At 37.9% G+C, this 22083-nt stretch overlaps 1 protein-coding gene across 4 annotated transcripts in view, besides 2 other annotated features; it reads left to right on the top strand.

The window, feature by feature from the left end:
• Positions 12226–12762: an enhancer, noted in NCBI's record as "H3K27ac hESC enhancer chr1:111506132-111506668 (GRCh37/hg19 assembly coordinates)". NCBI's record gives its function as "activates a minimal SCP1, AML or CMV promoter by ChIP-STARR-seq in primed H9 embryonic stem cells {active_cell/tissue: H9 hESC(primed)}" and the evidence as "EXISTENCE:reporter gene assay evidence [ECO:0000049][PMID:30033119]".
• The window catches only part of LRIF1 (ligand dependent nuclear receptor interacting factor 1), an 88966-nt gene continuing 79232 nt past the window's right edge, over positions 12350–22083 (top strand). For all 4 annotated transcript variants that reach the window (XM_017001769.3, NM_001006945.2, XM_005271029.5 and 1 more), the window contains exon 1: positions 12350–12651. In XM_017001769.3, the coding sequence (XP_016857258.1) occupies positions 12584–12651 (68 nt within the window). In that variant the 5' untranslated portion in view covers positions 12350–12583. The remainder of the gene's footprint in view (positions 12652–22083) is intronic.
• Positions 12482–12691: an enhancer, noted in NCBI's record as "active region_1479". NCBI's record gives its function as "activates an Ori minimal core promoter by ATAC-STARR-seq in GM12878 lymphoblastoid cells {active_cell/tissue: GM12878}" and the evidence as "EXISTENCE:reporter gene assay evidence [ECO:0000049][PMID:35858748]".

The raw sequence follows: 22083 nt of genomic DNA, 5'->3' as shown, positions 1-22083 counted from the left end.
GGACTTAAGCAAATTCCCAAAGGGAAATAAATCATAGAGGAAGAAGCCGGCTACAAATTCACATCAAATCACTGGCCAAATTCTGAGCTTCACATTAAGGGGCAGGAATCCAATAAATCCAGCAGAAAACAGCAGCTAGGAGGCTAACAAACTGTACAGAAGTTTCAGCAATTATGTTGTACTGATGAGACAGAGATTGGAGTTCAAAATTTGCCAAGGTCAAGGGGTTTTGGTAAAAACTGGGTTTTCAATTGAGATCCCAGAATGATCACACTCTAGAAATATGGACCACTCTCTATAAATAATAATAAATTGAAATGGAGTAGTCATAACAAAGTCTCAAATCAACCCTCTGCAGGATTGATATGGTCATTAGTACTTAGAACTTAATTCTTTAAAGTTTTCATGGACAATGTTTAGCACCCAATACAAATTGTGAGACATCTTATACAACATAAGCAAAAAGACAAAAACAAAGAGTAAAATCGACAATAAAAACAGACTCAGAAAAGATTTGGCATTAACAGATATTTTAAATTATGATTAATTGACACAAATAAAGATTTAAAATGGAAAACTTGATCAGAGATATGAAATATAAAAAAAGAGTCAAATGAAAGTCCTAAAATGAAAAACGACTATAATTAAAATAAGAAGTTTAATAGATTAGTAAATAGTTCATTAGATATGATTTTTCAGATGATTAGTGAACTGGGAAATATAAAAGAATCAAGAACATAAAAGGAGATATAAAATATTGAATAAAACATAAGAGACACATGGGACATTGATAAAAGGTCTAACATATGGGTAATTGGAGTCAAGATAGAAGTGAGAGAGTAAGAAAAAGATACAGTATTTGAAGAAATACTGGTGAATAATTTTTGAAAATTGAAAAGAAATTGCTTAAGAAATAAGTGTAAAAACTCTTTGAGGCATTTTTACCAAAGAAGAGTAAATATTTAACTAAACTATGGAATTATATCCTAGAACTGTCATATTAATTTTTTTTTTTTTTTTTTTTTTGAGACAGTCTCACTCTGTCGCCCAGGCTGGAGTGCAGTGGCGCGATCTCGGCTCACTGCAAGCTCCGCCTCTCAGGTTCACGCCATTCTCCTGCCTCAGCCTCCCGAGTAGCTGGGACTACAGGCGCCCACAACCACCCCCGGCTAATTTTTTGTATTTTTAGTAGAGATGGGGTTTCACCGTGTTAGCCAGGATGGTCTCGATCTCCTGACCTCGTGATCCACCCGCCTCAGCCTCCCAAAGTGCTGGGATTGCAGGCATGAGCCACCGCGCCTGGCCAGTTTTTTTTAAGTTTACAAAATGCAGATTCAAAATTCCCTATAAACACCGAACAAGATAAATACAAACAGAACCACATCAGGGACTAAGCTTAAAGCTCAGTTATTATTTCTTCTGTAAGATGTAATCTTCCATTAATTTAATAAAGTGTATTTTTCTTTTTTTAACTGCTGTGCAGGAAAGTATTTTATTTAAAAATGAACTGAAAGTGGCTGTCAATATTCATATATAGGTACTGTGAACACAATCAGAAAATTAGAATCAAAACATTTTGGTGATAAAAGCTTCTTCCCAAATCAAGCATGAGGCAAAAGAAAAATGTGAGACTTCATAAAACAGTAAAAATACTTTAGAAATTCAAAGCTCATAGCAGAAGTGGACATAAAAACAAATATGGCTGGGTGCAGTGGCTCACACCTGTAATCCCAGCACTTTGGAAGCCCGAGGCAGGTGGATCACCTGAGGTCAGGAGTTCAAGACCAGCCTGGCCAACATGGTGAAACCCCATCTCTACTAAAAATAAAAAAAATTAGTTGGGTGTGGTGGCACATGCCTGTCATTACAGCTACTTGGAAGGATGAGGCAGGAGAATCCCTTGAACCCAGGAGTTGGAGGTTGCAGTGAGCAGAGATCGTGCCATTGCACTCCAGCCTGGGCAACAAGAGTGAAACTCTGTCTCAAAAACAAACAAACAAAAAACTGTAAAATAAAATAGGAGTTGGCTGAATTCAATAAAGTAAATGACATCAAAATCATCATAGAAATGAGGTAAAGTGTATTTTCCTATTTTATCACTATAGCTTTCCTCTTTGGAAATTTTATTTGAATTTTAAAAATATCTTCTATATGTTTACTTAACTTTTTGAACATATACAGTTGTAATATTTGTATTAATATCCCTATTTGCTAATTCCAATATCTGGGTCAGTTTTGATTATTTCCATTGTGGATATTGTATTGCCTCTGTATGCCTGGTAATCTTTGATTAGGCTCTAACATTGTAAATATTACCTTGTTGGATGCTGGCTATTTTTGTATTGCTATACATTCTCTTGAGTTTTGTTTTGAGATACAGTTATTTTATCTGGAAGAAGTTTGATACTTTCAGGTCTTGTTTTTGTGATTTGTTAGGTACATCTGGAGTGTAGCAGTACTCTATTCCACACACATGAAATATGAATTTTGCCAGTCCGTAGTGGAAAGATGCACTGTTTCCAGCCCTGTGTGTTAGGTACTATTCCTTCTTATCCTTTTTGATAGTTCATTCCCCAGCATTGAGTTTCATTACAGACAAATGCTTGTCAGTACTCTACTGAATATTCAACATGAACTGTGCTGGTTAATTTATGTATCAATTTCTCTTGGCTAAGGGATGCTCAGATAGCTGGGAACACATTATTACTGTGTGTGCCTGTAAGGGTGTCTCTGGAGTAGATTAGCATTTGAACCAGTAGTCTAAATAAAAAGATCTACCCTCACCAATGTGGGCAGGCACCATCCCATCAGTTGAGGGTCTGAATAGAACAAAAATGTGGAAGAAGGATGCATTCCCTCTTTTCTTGAGATAGGTTCATCCACTTCTGCCATCAGACATGAGCACTCCTGGTTTTCAAGCCCTGTGACTTTGAGACTTACACCTGCACTCTCCTTCCCACTCCCGAGTTCTTAGGCCTTGGAGTCAAACTGAGAGTTATGCCATTGGCTCCTCTGGCTCTCCAGTCCTTAGATCCAGACTTAACTACACCACTGGCTTTCCTGGTTATCCAACTTCCAAATGGCAGATGGTGGAACTTCTTGACCATTATAATCACATGAAACAATTTCCATAATAAATCTCTTCTTCCCTCTGTCTCTCTCTTCACACCACCAATTCACCACCACCACACACACACATATATCTCCTTCCATGCAGTTATCGCCTCTCTTTTATAGTCTGTCCTATCAACTTTGCCTTGGTTTCCCAGGACTCAGCTCCATTTCTCAACACAGCTAGTCTGACAGGCTCTGCCTCAGTTCCTCTTCCTTCAGCTGTAGGCTGAAAATCTCTCAAGATGGTAAGCTGAGGCAATGGTAACGCTTACCTCATTTTTTCCCATATTTCAAAATCACTGTCTTTCATTGCCTGATTCCAGTATCTTAAAAGGTACTGTTTCACACATTTTTGTTTTGTTGCTGTTGTTTTTGCTACAGATGTTGCTTCAAGTAGGAGAGTAAATCCAGCCCCTGTTGCTCATCTCACCCAAAGTGGCTTTACAAAGGTTTTTAAATTATCTTTGTAGGTAGTTCTGATATAACATGACATATACATTCCTAACATCACCACATTATGCAGAATCATACAATAAAAACCCCAGGGTTCATGGGAAACTGAAGTTAGGGAAACAATATAAAATACTGATACATTAAACAAAAATACAGCAACTGCCAAAAAAATGGAAGTACAGTTTTTAACATGTTAAGTGGTTAGTAAGTACATAAATAATATGTGGACAGGATACTTTACATTGTAAAAGACCTTGAATTTGCTTTTGGAAGTGTATGCCTATACTCTTGCCACTGCACCCAGCTCCCACACCTACCACCCAGCCTGTGTAAGGAAGAGAACAAAAGAGAGATAGAAAAGGTGAAAGAAATAAGAGATAAAATGGAAGAACATGGAGGCAAATACAAATAAGCAAAGAGGAAAGAGGGGAAAATTAAAGGGAGAGGATACAGAGGACTGAGTAGCCAAGGTGACAATTTGAAGAGCTGCAGCTTGTGAGTTATTAAGTAGTAGGAGGGGGGTTAACTGAATTAAGGTGAAAAGTTGAAACGCCTTATGTGGATGGGTGTGGCTCATTGTCCTTTTGAAATGTGTGGGAGTTTTTTTTTTTTTAATTTAAGTTTTAAGTTAAAGGGTACATGTGCAGGTTTGTTATATAGGTAAATTTGTGTCACAGGAATTTGTTGTACAGATTATTTCATCGCCCAAGTAGTAATCCCAGTCTCCATTAGTTAGTTTTCCTGATGCTGTCCCTCCTCACTCCCCCACAACCCTACAATAGGCCTCGTGTCTGTTGTTCTCTATGGGGCCATGTGTTCTCATCATAACTCCCACTTAAAAGTGGGAATATTTGGTATTTGGTTTTCCGTTCCTGTGTTAGATTGCTAAGGATAATGGCCTCCAGCCCCATCTATGTTGCTGCAAAGGACACGATTTCACTCTTTTTTATGGCTGCATAGTATTCTATGGTGTATATGTACCACATTTTCTTTAACCAGTCTACCATTGATGGGCATTTAGGTTGATTCCATGTCTTTGCTATTGTGAATAGTGTTGCAGTGAATATCCGTGTGCATGTGTCTTTATGGTGGAATGATTTATATTCCTCTGGGTACATACCCAGTAATGGGATTGCTGGGTCAAACGGTAGCTCTGGTTTTGGGTCTTTGAGGAATCACCACACTATTTTCCACACTGGTTGACTTAATTTACACTCCCACCACAGTGTGTAAGTGTTTCTTCTTCTCCACATCTTCACCAGCATCTGTTATTTTTTGACTTTTTATAGCCATTCTTACTGGTGCAAAATGGTATGTCATAGTGGTTTTGATTTGCATTTCTCTACTGCTTAGTGATGTTGAGCTTTTTTTCATATGCTTGTTTGACACATGTATGTCTTCTTTTGAAGAGTGTCTGTTCATGTCCTCTGCCAACTTTTCAATGGGCTTGTTTGTTTTTCTCTTGTAAATGTGTGTAAGTTCCCTATAATGTTGGATATTAGACCTTTGTCAGCTGCATAGTTTGGAAATATTATCTCCTATTCTGTAGATTGTCTAGTTACTCTGCTGATAGTTCTTTTGCTGTGCAGAAGCTCGAAAGTTTAGTTATATCCCATTTGTCAATGTTTGCTTTCGTTGCAATTGCTTTTTGTGTCTTTGCCCATTCCTATGTCCTGGATGGTATTGCCTAGGTTGTCTTCCAGGATTTTTATAGTTTTGAGTTTTACATTTAAGTCCTTAATCCATCTTGCATTGATTTCTGTATATGGTGTAAGGAAGGCACCTAACTTCAATCTTCTGCATATGGCTAGCCGGTTATCCCAGCACCATTTATTAATAAGGGAGTTTTTTCCCCATTGCTTGTGTTAGCTTTGTTGAAGGTCAGATAACTGTAGTGTGCAGCCTTATTTCAGGACTGTCTGTTCTGTCCCATTGATATATGTGTCTGTTTTTATACCAACACCATGCTGTTTTGGTGACTGTAGCCTTTACCATAGTTTGAAGTCTGTTAGTGTGATACCCCCAGCTTTGTTCTTTTTGCTTAGGCTTGCCTTGGCTATTCAGGCTCTTTTTTGGTGTCATATGAATTTTTAAATAGTTTTTTCTAGTTCCTTGAAGAACATCATTGGTAGTTTAATAGGAATATCCTTGAATCTATAAATTTCTTTGAGCAGTATGGCCATTTTAACTATATTGATTCTTCCTATCCATGAGTATGGAATGCTTTTCCATTTGTTTTTGTCAGCTCTGATTTCTTTGAGCAGTGTTTTGTAGTTCCTCTTGTAGAGATCTTTCACTTCTCTGGTTAGCTGTATTCCTAGATACTTTTTTCTTTTTGTGGCAATTGTGAATGGGATTGCATTCCTAATTTGGCTCTCTGCATCACTGCTGTTGGTGTATAGAAATGCTAATGATTTCTGTACATTAATTTTGTATCCTAAGACTTTGCTGAAGTTGTTTATCAGCTGAAGGAGCTTTTGGGCTGAGGCTATGGGGTTTTCTAGATATAGCATTGTGCCATTGGCTGACAGGGATAGTTTGACTTCCTCTCTTCCTATTTGGATGTACTTTCTTTCTTTCTCCTGCATGACTGCACTGGCCAGGATTTCCAATACTATGTTGAACAGGAGTGGTGAGAGAAGGTATCCTTGTTTTGTGCTGGTTTTCATAGGGAATGCTTCCAGTTTTTGCCCAAATAGTATGATGTTGACTCTGGGTTTGTCATATGTAGCTCTTATTATTTTGAGGTATGTTCCTTCAATACCTTGTTTGTTGAGGGTTTTTAATATAAAGGGGTATTGAATTTTATTGAAAGTCTTCTCTGTATCTATTGAGATAATCATGTTTTTGTCTTTAGTTGTGTTTATGTGATGAATCACATTTATTGATTTGCATATGTTGAACCAACCTTGCATCCCAGGAATAAAGCCTACTTGATCATGGTGGTTAGGCTTTTCGACATGCTGCTGGATTTGATTTGCCAGTATTTTTTTTTGAGGATTTTTGCATTGATGTTCATCAAGGATATTGGCCTAATGTCTTCTTTTTTGTTGTGTCTCTGCCACAACAAAAAAGACACTGGAAAAAACACAACACATGTTCATTTACTTTTGCATGACTCGTAATTTTATCTTTTTTCAATTGTTCCTTAATAGCTTAAAGTTTCATTGTATTCTTGCATCAAATATTCTATTATCTATTAAGATATCTAATGCCAATTTGATTTTTTAAAATGCTTACTCCTTGTGATAGGTCAAGTTTAAGACGGCTCCCAATTATTCCTACCTCCTGGTATTCACACTCTTATGTAATCATTACCTTTTAAGTGTAGGCTGGCCTAGTGACTTTCTTGTAACCAACAGAATACATCAAAGGTGATAGGATGTCACTTCCATACTTAAGCTACATTAAGATTATGACCTTCATCTTACTACTAGACTCTCTTCTTTGTGAGCTTTGATAAAGCTGCCAAATTGGAGAGGATGTGAGAACTACAACACTCTTGGCCAGAAAAACTGTGTCCAAACCTCTGCACTAAAAGGCATCCAAACTCTAGCATTGCTTTTAAGAGATAAGGCCATGTCCTTAAGTTTACTTCAGCCTCCCATTAAAATGCCTGCCTGACAAAGCTCAGTGCTGCTACAAGAATTTACTGTTTGCTCTAGCCAACACCTGATGATAAGTTCTTTCTTAGAACATTTACTAAAAAGGGCTTATAATTATGTGTCCTTTTCATTTCCCTTTGAAATGTATATGTATCTCCTACAACTCAGAAGTGTCCTTCTGAAGAAACTGAAGGACATTCCTTTGAAATGTAATCATCAGGAAGGATAAGACCCCTGTCTCTCAGTTTCTAAGCAAATAGAGTCCTAACTTCAATAACTGCCAGAGAGCAGACACAGCTGGCCTAGATGCATTTATGTAGATCAATCTTTTGTAATTTTTTACTTCTCTGACTTTTCTTGAGCCTCTGCTCATGGGTCCCTCATTTTCCCTTTAAAACACCCAATCACCTCTGCACAAATAAAAGTGGAACTCAGTTGTTTCTCTTACTATCAGTAGTTACTGAATAAAATCTGTTTCAATGTTTTAACTAATGTCCAGTTGGGTTTATCTTTGGCAACCCTCATGACAAGGAACTGAGGGCAGCAGCCTTTGGCCAACAACCAGCAAGAAACACAGGCCCTCAATCCAGCTGCTGCAAAGAACTGAATCCCTCCAACAACAAAAGAGCTTGAAATTGGCTTTTTCTCTAGTTGAGCCTTCAGATGAGACAGTAGCCCTGATCAACACCTTGATTGCAGCCCTGTAAATGACTCTATAGCAGAGGACCTGACTAAGCTGTGCCTAGACTCCTAACTGACATTTGTTATTTTTAGCTGCTAAATTTATGGTTATTTGTTATGCAGAAATATATGGTTATTTGGTATGCAGAAAATAATACATTTTTCCTCCCTGAGGGCTTTATTTTTTTTTCTTTTTGATATTCTAGTTTTAATTTCTTAAGGCATGTTTTTTTTTTCTTATTTCTCTCACTTGATACCTTAGGACATGCTTTAACTGACATCTTTCTATTTTCTTTAATTCTGGAAAAATAGTTTTTAGATTTAAAAAATATTTGTTTTAATTTCTGTCCTTCTGCAATCCTATTTTCCAGATATTGAAACTTCTACTTTTCTATTAGACAAATTTTAACTTTTATTTTTATATTTGCTCTCTTTTTATCCTTTCCTACTGCCCTCCAACATTTTCTTTACTCTCTTCTATCAGTCTCCTAATTCTTTATTCAGCTGCATGCATTCAACTATTTATCTCATCTAGTGTGTTTATTTTAGTTCATATTTGGCTTCACTCTCATCCCCCAAATATGTTCATTTTTTTCTGATTTTCACTGATATACTGTAGTATATCTGTGGGAGATATGTTTCAATACTCCCAGTGAATGCTTAAAACCATGAATAGTACCAGACTGGATACGGGCTACATTTTTTTTTCTTATACATACATACCTATAATAAAGTTTAATTTATAAGTTAAGCATAGTAAGAGATTAATCACAACTAATAATAAAAATAGAACAACATGCTAGCATCACTACTCCTGTACTTTGGGCCATTTTTAAGTAAATAAGGGTTACTTGAACATAAACATTGTGATACCATGACAGTGGATCTGAAAACCAAGATGGCGCCTAAGTGACTAACAGGTGGGGATATGCTAGAGAAAGGGATGATTCACACCCTGGTGGGGCAAAAAAGGACAGCTCAAGATTTCATCATGCTACCCAGAATGGCACACAATTTCATACTTGTGAATTGGTAATTTCTGCAATTTTCCATGTAATATTTTTGAACCATGGTTGACCATGGGTAACTGAAACTACAGAAGGTAAAACTGAATAAGCAGGGTCTACTGTAGTTTTCTATTACTTTAATTTTCCATGTAACTTGATTGTACATTTAACATTTTTGATCTGTTTTTGTAATGCTAATTTAGTAACAGTCATTTCATTTCTAAATATGTCTTTAAACTAGTCTTTATTAACTGAATTGCAAGGTGATGCGTGCCTGTAGTCCCAGCTACTCAGGAGGCTGAGGCAGGAGAATCACTTGAACCTGAAAGGCGGAGGTTGCAGTGAACCAAGATCGTGCCACTGCACTCCAGCCTGGGCAACAGAGCGAGACTCTGTCTCAACAACAACAACAACAAAAAGATATTTAAGCCTCAGTCTGCATTTCCCAATGAATTTAGAAGAAAAGTGTATGTCCTAAGGAATTCAAAGAAGCACTGCTGATCATACCAATTAGCTTCCACTCCAAAAGGCAATTTCCATGGTAAGAGTTATATTTAAATTGTAGTGCAAGACCACACTGATAAAAGTCAAGTTACCTATTTATAATATACCAGCCAGGGTGGTTTTGCGGAAAGGATGGAGTAGTGACTTCCCAACACTGGCAGGTAATCCTGCATCTGTTTTCATCAGTGCCTTACCTTAGCATGGGTTTTTCCTGCCTTGACTTTATCCTGTCCATACCAGGGGCTTGGCTATTGCTACAGGTTTATTTTCAAAGGACAATTAATGATCATATCTGTTACAAGAGAAAAATTCAAATAGTTGCCTCCACCCTCTGCTTCTCGTGGTGGCCCTTGGCTTTAGCCTGTAACACTCTATACACTCACATACCAGTTCTGAAAATGTCCTACAGATCGAAATTTTCACAGCTGCTTTTTGTGTGTGTGTGTGTGTGTGTGTGTGTGTGTGTGTGTGTGTGGTGGTTGTTGCTGTTAATTCCTAAAAATCTAAACTTCCTTTTTTTTTTTTTATTTCTCCAGGTGTCAGCCGTCTGTACTAGTTCAACATCTTGATTAGAATCAAGGATTTTGGCTGGGCACAGTAGCTCATGCCTGTAATCCCAGCACGTTTGGAGGCCAAGGCAGACAGATCATTTGCGGTCAGGAGTTAGACACCAGCCTAGCCAACATGGTGAAACCCTGTCTCTATTAAAAATACAAAAAATGAGCCAGGCGTGGTAGTGCGCACCTGTAATCCCAGCTACTCGGGAGACTGAGGCACGAGAATCGCTTGAATCCAGGAGATGGAGATTGCAGTGAGCTGAAATCACGCCACTGTACTCCAGTCTGGGGTGACAGAGTGAGACCCTGTCTAAAAAAGAAAAAGAAAAAAAGAAAAGAAAAAAGAAAAAGAAAAAAAGGAAAAGAATCAAGGATTTTGATCCTTATCATAAGAGCAATGGGGAAACTGATTTTTTTTTTTAATGCAGTGAGATGACACCATCAGATTTGTGTTTCCATATGGTATCTCTGGCTGCAGCATTTACAGGAATACAAGAGTGGATATGAGGCTCACGCCTGTAATCCCATCACTTTGGGAGGCTGAGGCGGGGAGATCAGGAGGTCAGGAGATCGAGTCCATCCTGGCTAACACAGTGAAACCCCATCTCTAATTAAAATACAAAAAATTAGCTGGGTGTGGTGGCGGGCGCCTGTAGTCCCAGCTACTCAGGAGGCTGAGGCAGGAGAATGGCGTGAACCCAGGAGGCGGAGCTTGCAGTGAGCTGAGATTGCCCACTGCACTCCAGCCTGGGTGACAGAGTGAGACTCCCTCTAAAAAAATAAATAAATAAAAAAGGAGTGGATATGAGGGTATCCGTTAAAGCTTTACTAGACCAAGTAAGCTTGCTCTACAGTAGTAGTAATAGAAATATAAAGCAGACTTGTAAGATATTTAGAAGATAAAATCTGCAAAAGTTGGTGAATTGTATATTTTGGAATAAAAAAAGGAAAGTGTTAAGGATGACACTGGGATTTAGGCAACTTTAATGGAAGGAAGTTATTTCTTTCTTTCTTTCTGAGATAGCACTGATAAAAGAAAACGTGTAGTGGGGGGAAGAGAAGCAAGTCATAAGTGTGGTTTTGAACATGTTTCATTTGAAGGGGCTTTTAAAATAGCAAAAAGGATATCTCAACAATTCACTTGAACATCCAGGTATAGATCTCAGAGAAATCAGAACTGGGAACATAAATTTATGAGTCACACGGCAGCATAATGCAGTAGTACATGGTGTGTTTAGCCAGACAACCTGGATTTGGAGCCTGGCTCCATCACTCACAAGCTCTATGACCTCTAAAAATTTGTTCACCCTCTCTGAGCATCAGTTACTTCATCTGCATATAATAATTATTTTATTAGCTGTTAGGAGTAAATTAATTTTGTAAAACACTTAAATCAGTGCCAAGGACATACATGTGTTTGGTGGTAAAATAATGGGTGGAGGTGGTAATTCAATCCAGGAGCATGAATAAAACCACGAATCGAGACAAGACAGTTTGAAAACATAAGAGAATCAGTGATCAAGCTGAAAGGAACTCCCTTGAAAAGGGAGATATCTTCAAAAGAGATTGAGAAGGTGTAGACAAAAAGGTAGGAGCAAAACCAGGAAAGTATATTGCCAATGGCGTCAAGATGAGGGACTAATTAATAGTGCTGCGAGGAAAAATTCTCAAATAGTGTGAGATAAAGAGCATCAACTGCAATGGACAGCTGAATAAATGATTTAATGAATACAATGGATGTTCTGATGCAACTCCCAGATCTCCCTTCAGAAATAAAGGTCTATATGACAATAAGTGATAGTTTCGATGAACGTAGGCTGGAGGAAAGAGTTAAGTAAGTCTAGAGGCAAAGCTTCAGGAAAGAGGAGTAAATGGGAAACCTTCAGAGAAGCAGCAACAATAATCGCTGGCCACAGGCAGGCGTTTTAAGTTTTCTCAGGCCAGAAGTGCATGACTCCAAAAAAGCGCGCCGATGTCTTTTAATGCACTGACGGGAGAGAAAAACGTACGCTAGCGGCGAGCACAGAAGCAGAAAATTTATGATTGACCCCGGAAACATTTTATTTTGCGTAGGTGTCGGGAGAGCTTTCTTTTGCGATTTGTTCCTTGATCCGGAAGAAAAGATAGCAAATATCACTTGCCATTGGATTGCATCATAAGGGTTGGGCTTTAGCGAGCCAGTCACCTTGGCAACCGGACGTGACGACCCCGGAAGACGCCCGACCGAGCTTTGCTCCAGCTATCGGCTTCAGTGGGCGGGGCGGCAGAGCCAGACTGACGCAGTCTTCAGCACTGACCAGGCTCTGTTGGGGGTGGTGCCACCAAGGCCACGCCCCCTGCGCCTGCTCCGGCGGAGTCTGGAGAGTTGTCGTAGGCTCTGAGGGCGGAGACTCACGCCGATTCTCTCTCAGCGTAGGGCTGTGAGGGCGCAGTCCACCGCCAGGAGCCTTCCGGTTTCTGCGCGGTGCGCGACCTCGTCCCGAAGCCTGGGGATACACCCTCTCGAGAGCCCGCTGTCGCCCTCCGTTAAGGTCGAACCCCTCACAGTTGCTGTGGGCAACTCCAGCCCAACATTCCCTCGCTCTGGTTCTCGCCCCATTGGGAAACTCGGCCCCACGCTTCCCACTTTTCTGGATGAGGTGTCCCCTTTCTCCCCACTAAAATGTCAAATAACCTACGGAGGGTCTTCCTGAAACCCGCAGAGGAAAATTCAGGCAACGCCTCGCGTTGGTAAGTACCGGTTTCGAATCCTCCCCACGGCTGCCCCTCTGTCCGTCTTAGGGATGTGGAGTCGGCCGTCGTTTCCGGACGCTGTGTAGTTGAGAGGAGTTGGAGCCCGCAGAGTGCGCCACCCAGGCGGGAAGCGCTTGTCTCCGCGGCGCTTAAAGCCCATAGAGCGCTTTCCTCTGGGAAATGTAAAACCTCTTTAGAGCCTGACACAGCGGCTCCGCGGGACCCCAGCGTCTCAAGTTTAATAGGCGGACCGAGTAGATCTCCACGGGAGATGAAAACCAAGATGGCCGACGCTCTTATGTGACTCAAACCTTCTGGAAGATTCTCACGCACACGCAGAAACGCAGCAGTCAGCACGGATTAGCAAGTGCAGCCCTGGTGGCGCTGGACCTTCAGTGAAAATAGATTTTAATAGTGAGACAGAAAGGGTGTGTGATTGAAGAAAAAGGGCTTTAGAATGAGGAGATCGAATATTTAAAATTTCAAGTAATAGTTTTATGTGAAGAGAGAGAAGTAAGACTGGAGAAATCCTCGTGTAAAGTCAGTCCTTTTGAACAGCCTTTTTGAAGTAGGGTGTAATGAAGTGCCATTTCATTGGCTATTTATATTTGGCATGAGGAGAGTCCAGTATTTCTAAGGAAGATATTCTTGTAAAGTTAGAAAATAGATGATCAGTAACTTAGTTTTTGGGTTTTTTTTTTTAAATTGTATTACAAGGAAATGAATTGGAAACAATGTTAGCTAAAGCAGAATATTTTCACTTGTACTCTCACATGGTTAGTAGATTAAGTGATGAGGAAAAAATAGGGTCTGCAGACTCTAATAAGAAAATGAAGAACTAAGATGCAAAACTCATGGAAGAGGATTTTCGTTTGAAGAAAATCAAGCTACCTGGGGTTAATCTCAACTTTGCTAGTTAGCATTTGTGAGGCCAGGTACCTGTTTCCAGTCTGTAAATAATAGCACTTAGAAATATTTTAAAGATTAGGAGAATGAAATAATGTAAAATACGTCGTGTAGGAAAATAGTAAAGCACAATTTAAATGTTAACTATTACTATTATAAGCATACAACTTTAATTCTGTACAGATTTTAGCCCAGCAGGTAGTTTTCTTTAATTGCAAGTAGAAAACTCCATTGCAATAAAGACCGTAAGTAATGGTGAGTCCTTAAAAGCAATATTATAAAAGGAAATGGTCACTAATAGTAATGAGCCAAAATTCTGTTGAACTGTCAAGATAGAACCATTGTATTTCAAATCATAAAAAGAGCCATTTTTTGGTGTACTTGTGTGTTTTTTTCTTTTTTCTTTTTTTTAATTTTGTGGTGGAAGTTTGGGGGAAGGGGCAGAGAGTGCCCTGTGTACATATGAGAAAGTAGAATTACTTTTTAAATGATTAATTTCTGCAGCCTTATTTTAGTACCTGAATACTTACTGACTTCTGACTTAGCTTAATTTATAGAAAATTTGTTTTAGGATTGCATTTTTAAATACAAAAAGTAAGATAAACAACTTTACTTTGTGTGTGTGTGTGTGTGTGTGTGTGTGTGTGTGTACCCTTAACTCTGTTATCCAGTTTCTAATCCTTTTGGGGATTTGGAGATTTTTAAATTACAAATTACATTCATAAGTCATTTTGAGTTCATTAACTCATTGATTTATGCATTGTTTTTATTATTTTTGAATGTATTTATTTAAATCATTGAGGTTTTACATCATATATTTGGGACATTTACCAGATGACTTTCTGAAGCTTCGACATTTACTTTGGTTAATGGTTGCGTATTTGATTCCATTCTGTTCTGTAAGTAATAAAACATCCAAATATAATTTTGTAAATAATATTAACGGCCCTTGTAGTTTATTGGAAACTTAGTTTTCTTATTTTTCTGGTAACATGTTTGATGGTACTAAATCATTTATTTTTATAACTTAAATGACTATGATTTTCTTATTGTTTGTAGCTTAAATATTTCCTGTTACTGCTTATTTAAAATTTTTCAGTAGCATAATACAGAATTGTATATTGTTGTATATTGTTTGAAGTATCTCTTAATTCATCAGAACATCACATGTAAAACCCAAATTTAATCTTAGAGTACAAAGGAAAAATCTGGAAGATATTTGTGATGGTATGCATTTAATTTATATTGATTTGGGTTTTATTGTCGAAGAATAAAGCAGGAGTCAGAACGCTATAGTGGAAAGAACCTTTTAAGTCATAGAGACTTGGGTTCATATCCTAGCTTACCACTTACTATCAATACAGTTTAAACATTTGATGAAAAAACATTCATTTAGTGCCTACTATCTATGTGATAGACTGTGCTAAATGGGAAGACTGATTAATAATAGGATATGGGCTGTTGCCAGGGAAAACCTTACAGTCATGGTGGAGGAGGAGGAAAGTAGAGTTGATGTAGTAAAGGAAGAGAGTAGAGAAAGGGAGTTGGAAGAAAGATTCCAAGAACAGCTGAGTTGGGAAACATAAGTATCAGCTATCCAGTTAAAGATAAAAGCAGGATATGCTTATGCAGAGAACTGGTAAATAAAGGACGTGTATGGTTTATGATTGATACTTGTTGCTTGATTCTGTACAAGTAGGATAGATAGATAGCTCTTAAGGGTTCTGTTTGCCCTGCTAAGGAGATTAGACTTCATCTATTGGAAATAGGTCAGAGTATTTTAAGAAAAAGACTGACACAGGTGTACATTTTAGATAACGTTGGCAGTCTGGATTTGAGGGTGAGTGATCTACATATAAGGATCCTATTTCAGTTGTCTTTTCAGAAATTCTGAGGGCCTGAACTAGCTGGTACAGTACAGTAGGGGTTGGATTCAAAGAAATATAGAAGGGAAAATAGACCGACTTCGTTAATGAATTGGCAGGAAGAAAGGGGGATCAATTATGATGCCAGTTTTCTGGGTGGATATTGGTAAATTAACTGAGATGAGGAACACATCAAGAAAGCAGTCAGATATTTGAATATGAAACTCAGGCTGAGTCAGAGCTGAGACTAGAGATTTGGGAAGCATCACCTTAGAGGTACTATAATGAAAGCCTGTGATTATATATCCTACAATAATAAGAATTAAGACATCATGTGATTGGCCATTGGCAGCTATCTTCCCATAACCATTTGTATTCAAATGGGGAGCTAAACTTAAGTGTTCTCAGCAGGGGGTTTGGTTTGACTGGAATGATGATGCTTCATTGTCAGTTCAGTATGCATTTTGTTGTGTACAGTGTTTTATTTTGTGATTTGAGTGTGTCTGTGTGTGTGTGAGGGAGAGACAGACACACATACTATAGAGTCTAAATGAAATCTGTCATTAATCTCTTAGTTTATACATTTGAATTTTTTGGACCCTGTTATAATGGGGTTATGCTAAAGTAAATATAGAAAGTAGATAAGCTTTCTCAAGGGGAGTGTGTAATTCTAAGTAAGTTATTAAATGTTTCCAAATCTCCATTTTCTCAAGTATAAAATGGGAATGGCAGTTCATAACTTTCTTGACTGTTTATTAGGATTAGAGTTAGTAACAACTGGTATATCTATCATGTACGCAATACATGGTACATATTATTGGATAGATAACTATGTTATGTACTTAGATATATTATGTTCTATATGTATATAATGTTATGTCATAGATAGTAAGAAAAGGATTTCCTAGCAGTTGAAAAAAATATATTTTGCAAAAATATCTATAAAATGTTCATCAGCCTTCAACATTTTTATTAGTCTATTTCTAATATATGAATGCCTCATATCAATATTAGAATAGTAAAAAATGTCAGAAGTTATATAACATTACCAATATGTTTAATGTGCCTTTTTATTAAATTTCTCATTCTTTTTTTTTTTTTTTTTTTTTTGAGATGGAGTCTCGCTCTGTCGCCAGGTGGAGTGCAGTGGCTCGCTGCAACCTCGACCTCCTGGGTTCAAGTGATTCTCCTGCCTCAGCCTCCCAAGTAGCTGGGACTACAGGCGTGTGCCACCACGCCCGGCTAATTTTTGTATTTTTAGTAGAGACGGGGTTTCACCATGTTGGCCAGGATGGTCTCGATCTCTTGACCTCATGATCCGCCCACCTCAGCCTCCCAAGGTGCTGGGATTACAAGCATGAGCCACTGCACCCGGCCATATTTCTCATTACATTTTTAAAAGACCTTATCTTACCTTATTCTCAGAGACCAATTGCATATTTTAATGGAAGATGATAACTGTTATGCTCCCAGGCAGTTATTTCATTTACTTCTCCTAGTAAGCTTTATTTTCCCCTATTTAACAAATGAAGAAACAGATTCAAAGAGGATAAGTACATTTTCTAGTCAACTTGTAATTATAAGAACCAGAATTAGTAGCCTGTAATCTTTCTAATATGTTCCTCTTTTCTCTTTTAAACTGTTAAACTGTATTATTTTTCAAATGTAGTTTCTCAGTTTGAACACCAGCTGGTTTAAAGTAATTACTTTAAAGTAATTAGGTGACCAGACTAGAAAATGGGATGCAGAATCTGGTTCTAGTTTTAGTTCTGACATTAGCCCGCAGAATATGATCTTTCAGAAAACAGAATCTTTGTAGGACTTTAATTATTTAATCTCTTCAATGGAAGGCTCCTTCTAGATATGAAAAACTGTATATTGATAGAAGGAGTACGAATTTCATCCTGAGTTATTACTTCTTAGCATTCTGCAGATTAATTTTTAGAACTCATTACATTTTGTTGCCAAGAAATCATGGATTTTTAAAAAAATTATACCTTGTAGGATTCAATTCAGCTAACATTATTGTGTGCAATTTCCAGTTTCTGAATTAGATGCGGAGTATATAGATATGAATAGGATAATCTACCCTGCAGGAATTTATGGTCTGTGGTAGATTATGTGACTCTCACTGATACACTGACATGGAAGAAGCTTAATTTTTCTTCCTTTTTTTTATTTTTTGGAGGTGAAATAGAGGAAAAGAGAGGGAAAAATTTAGTGATCAGATTGGAAAATAGCTCACACAGTATAGTTTTTTTTATAAAGCAGAAATATAGACATCATATAAAATACTATGCTTGGTATTGGAAGGATATTTGCAAAATAAATTATAAAGCCTCTCACCTTAAGGAGTTTCAGTCTTATTGAATGAAACAATACTCATTTTAAAAAATTAGCTAATAGATTAAAGTCAATAAAGAAAGCATTATATAATTTCCAACATTAATAGCACCAATGGGAGTACATTCGGGATTCCAAGTTGGAAGAAATTAAGCTGGAGTGACTGGCAGATATTTTATGGAAAAGATAGAATTGGAAACTAATTTTATATTGTTGGAGAAGAAAAATAATAATACTTTGAGTAAATAATGTAATATACATGGCATATTCCAGAATAGCAAAGAGATCTCTCTGGTAAGAGCAGAGATTTCACATTGAGAAGTTGTGGGTGGTATTGTTGTAGAGATTGGTTGGAGCTAGATTGTAGATGATTTTCGCGTCCAGCTGAATTGGCAATGATGAATACTAAAACTTTGAACAAGAGATAACAGGATGAAAACAATTTTAGTCTGCCAGAGATACATAATAGTCAATAGTGGCTGCAATCAGAAAAACAACATCAGCAAAATACTGTAGGGATGAGAATGATGAGTGCTAGACACATCTGATGAGGATCTCATGTAGATGGTGGAAGTCACAATGATGAAGAAAGAAAAGATGGATGAAATGGGTTAAAAAGAAAACCGTATAGACTTGATGATTCAGTATGCATTTATTAAATGTTTGCCTTTTGTAAGGACATATGCAAGGTTCTGTGGATGAATTTAAAGTAAATAAGAATGATGATAAAGACAAATCAGCAATGACTAGGTGATTTGAAACCTATATGATGTGGAAAATATTGGCGCTGCCATATGATTGAATGGTAGGATAGACTACTACTTTTCAATAGAGAGTAATTTTAACTTCGTAGATTTAAAGTGATGGGATTAAAATGTTTGGTAAGACATCACAAATATGGAACTGATGTCAATTCCAGTAGGGGACAGGAATAAAAGGATATAACTATGGGAGTCATTATTCCAAAGAAGATAGTTGAAAATAGTTGAAGCCGTGAGAATTGTTGCAGTCTTTTTTTTTTTTTTTTTTTTTTGAGACTGAGTCTTGCTTTGTCGCCCAGGCTGGAGTGCAGTGGCGCGATCTCAGCTCACTGCAAGCTCCGCCGCCTCCTCACTCCATTGTCCTACCTCAGCCTCCTGAGTAGCTGGGACTACAGGCGCTTGCTACCACGCCCGGCTAATTTTTTTTTTTTTTTTTTTTTTGTATTTTTAGTAGAGATGGGGTTTCACTGTGTTAGCCAGGATGGTCTCGATCTCCTGACCTCGTGATCCACCTGCCTCGGCCTCCCAAAGTGCTGGGATTACAGGCGTGAGCCACCGCACCTGGCGAATTGTTGCAGTCTTTAAGGAAGAATGTCTTGAAGGAGAAAAACAGGGTCAAGAAATGTGGGATAGTTAAAGGAGAATGCTTAGAATGCAGAAAATGAGTAAGGGAGCATTAGGAAAGTCAAGAGAAACAGAGGTTGTACACAGTGGAAACTATGATAGGTAAGAGGATCAATATGGAGGGATAATTAGTTGCAACAGAGAGGTACCTAGGGAATGAAGATAAAGACAAATTTAACTGTGAGAACATATTTGGTAATCTTTGAGAATGAAGTTTTAGTAGAATAATAGGAAAGAAAATAGACTGCAGAAGAAAGTAGGCTTCAAGATAACTTTCTGGCATATCACTTAATTGCAGCTTGTTAACACCATCTACCAACTTCCTGTCACTGAACTTGGCGCTTAGTTCACCATCTAGCTCACCATCTTCCCTCATGTGATTTCAATATCCGTATGGATAATCTCTTTGTCACCTCATCTTTATTACAGAGATCTTTTCCCCCAGTGATCTTATTCTCTGTTCTGTTGCACCTATCTACTTTTGTAGTACTTATTATTAGATGAAATTGCTGCATCTACGAAACTGTTTCACGCATCCTGTTTTCTAAATGCCAGTTCCTGTATTTCTAGCTGAGTTGTTTAACTGTTCCTACTGTAACTGTTAACTTTATCTGGCCCTACAGACCAATAATCCCTTTATTTTATCCCTATACTTTAGCCTTTTATTCTCTCATTTTCTTCCTATCCAGTTTAGACTCTGTTTCATTTTAATAACTCTTATCAATACCTTAAATTCTTTTGCTCTTCTTTGATTTTTTTGTTGCACCTTCCTGATGCCACCCCAACCCTGGATGAACTCAGTATGCTTTCTCTTTATCTGTGCTTGGTGTGACAAGAAAAATCTCGAGTACAGATTAGTACCACTATAAATTCATAACCACTACCTGTCTCCCCATGCCATCAACACATCCTGGCAACTCTAATATCTTCTGTGGTCAGTTTACTCCTTCACGAAGACTGTTCCAATCTTTGATTATCCTCAAATCTTTCCATATTTTTGCTCTTACTTTTAGCAGATGATGTCATGTGATTTTTCATAAAGAAAATAAAACCCATTAAATGAGAATTACCTCAGCCTCCTAACCCCAAAGTTGTATGCTTACCTGAAAATGCACATAATCTCTCCTCCAGTGTTGCAATGGAAGGAGATAGGTCTCCAGCTCTCTTTAAGGTTGAGTCCCTCCACCTGTCTCTCTGGTTTCCATTTCCTGCCTCCTTCTCATTGTGTATCCCTTTTGTTCCTTTATTACCAGTTTCTTCCCTGAACTGGCTCACTTGAGTATTTACATATGTTCTGGTTAATCTAACCTTAAACAAAGAAAAAGGAAAGATCCCTTCTTTGATTCCATTTATTCCTGTAGCTTCCTGCCAGTCGTTCTCTTCCCCTTGACAGTCAAAGTTTAAAAAGAGTTGTCTACTTGCTTCATACCCACTCCTCAGCAACTTCTTTCCCCTACCACACTGCTCTTATTAAAGCCATCAGTGATCTTCACAGCACTGTTTTCAGTGTACATTTTTAATCCTTATCCTATTTGGCATCTCAGAAACTTTTAGTATAATTGCCCAATTTTCTTAAAATCCTCTGTTCCTTTGGCTTAACATTGCATCAGAAGCAATGGTTTTCTTCCTACGACTCTAAGAATAATGGAAGGCCACTGCAATGTTTTAAGCAGGGAAAGATCAGTTTTAGTGTGCTGAGTAAATTGAAAGGTAGAAGATATGATTGGAGAAAAAAATCAGTCATGAAGCTATTGTAGTATTCTAAGCCAGAGATGATGTTTGCTTGGAGTAGAGTGGTAACAGTTGATTTGGAGAGAATTGAACAGATGAAAGGAAATTTAGGAGACAATATCAACAGGATTTTGTGATCACTGAATATAAGGAATAAGAAAGGAGGATTTATCTATTCTGACTTAAGGCACCTAAGGTAGATGAGATGCTATTTAGCAAAGAAAACCCTGCAGAAGATGGAACTTGGGGGGATTAGGATGGGCAGAGATCTGCTGGCCATGTTGAATTTTAGGAACGTTTGAGATTCTGAATGAAAATGTTAAAAGGGAATTTGGATGTATAAGCCTAAATTTCAAAGAAGCCACAGATAGAAATATTGAAATTGTTCATGCGTAAGTGATAATTTAATTGAAGTTATGCATTGAGAAGAAAGCATCTAACAAAAGAGTACAGAATAGGAAGAGAAGGATTCTTTCTAAGCTTTGGTAAACTCCCAACATTTGAAAGTTGATTCAAAAGTATGAGTTGGCAAAGAAGACTGAGGAGCCACTACAGAGGCTACTGTTACTCTTTTGATTTTTAAAAATCAATTAAAATATAAGAATGCACAGAAACAGAGTGGGCCAGATTAGGCCCAGAGGCTACAGCTTACTGACCCTTTTTTCCTGATGAGCCTGGTGCTTAACTTAAAACAGACACTTGGTAAATTTTTGTGTAATGACTTAATATTGAATATGTTCTTATCCAGGTCAAATGTGCTTTTCTTGTGGTGCAGGGAGGTAATAAAGGTAGATTTTTCCTCTTAAAACCCTGAAAGCAAGAATTCATCCTTTTCTTTGGGTTTATTCTCTTTAGAAGTTAACTTTTAATTTATTAAAAGTCAGTGTGTGACCAGCCTGGACAACATAGCAAAACTTTGCCTCTATAAAAAATACAAAAATTAGCCGGGTTTGGTGGCGTGCATCTGTGGTCTCAGCTACTTGAGAAGCTGAGGTAGAAGGATAGCTTGAGCCCAGGAGGTGGAGATTGCAGTGAGCCAAGATTGTACACCTACACTCCAGTCTGGATGACAGAGCCGGGCCCTGTCTCAACAGCAACAATAACAAAATGTCAATGTAATATTTTGACCCACTCTCACGTGTCCAAAAGACTTTTAAATTTTTGTAAGGATATAATAATGTTATTCGGGCTGCAGAAAG

This window comes from Homo sapiens, chromosome 1, assembly GCF_000001405.40.
Source record: "Homo sapiens chromosome 1, GRCh38.p14 Primary Assembly".
Lineage (NCBI taxonomy): Eukaryota > Metazoa > Chordata > Mammalia > Primates > Hominidae > Homo > Homo sapiens.
This window is presented reverse-complemented; position numbering and strand designations above follow the sequence as displayed.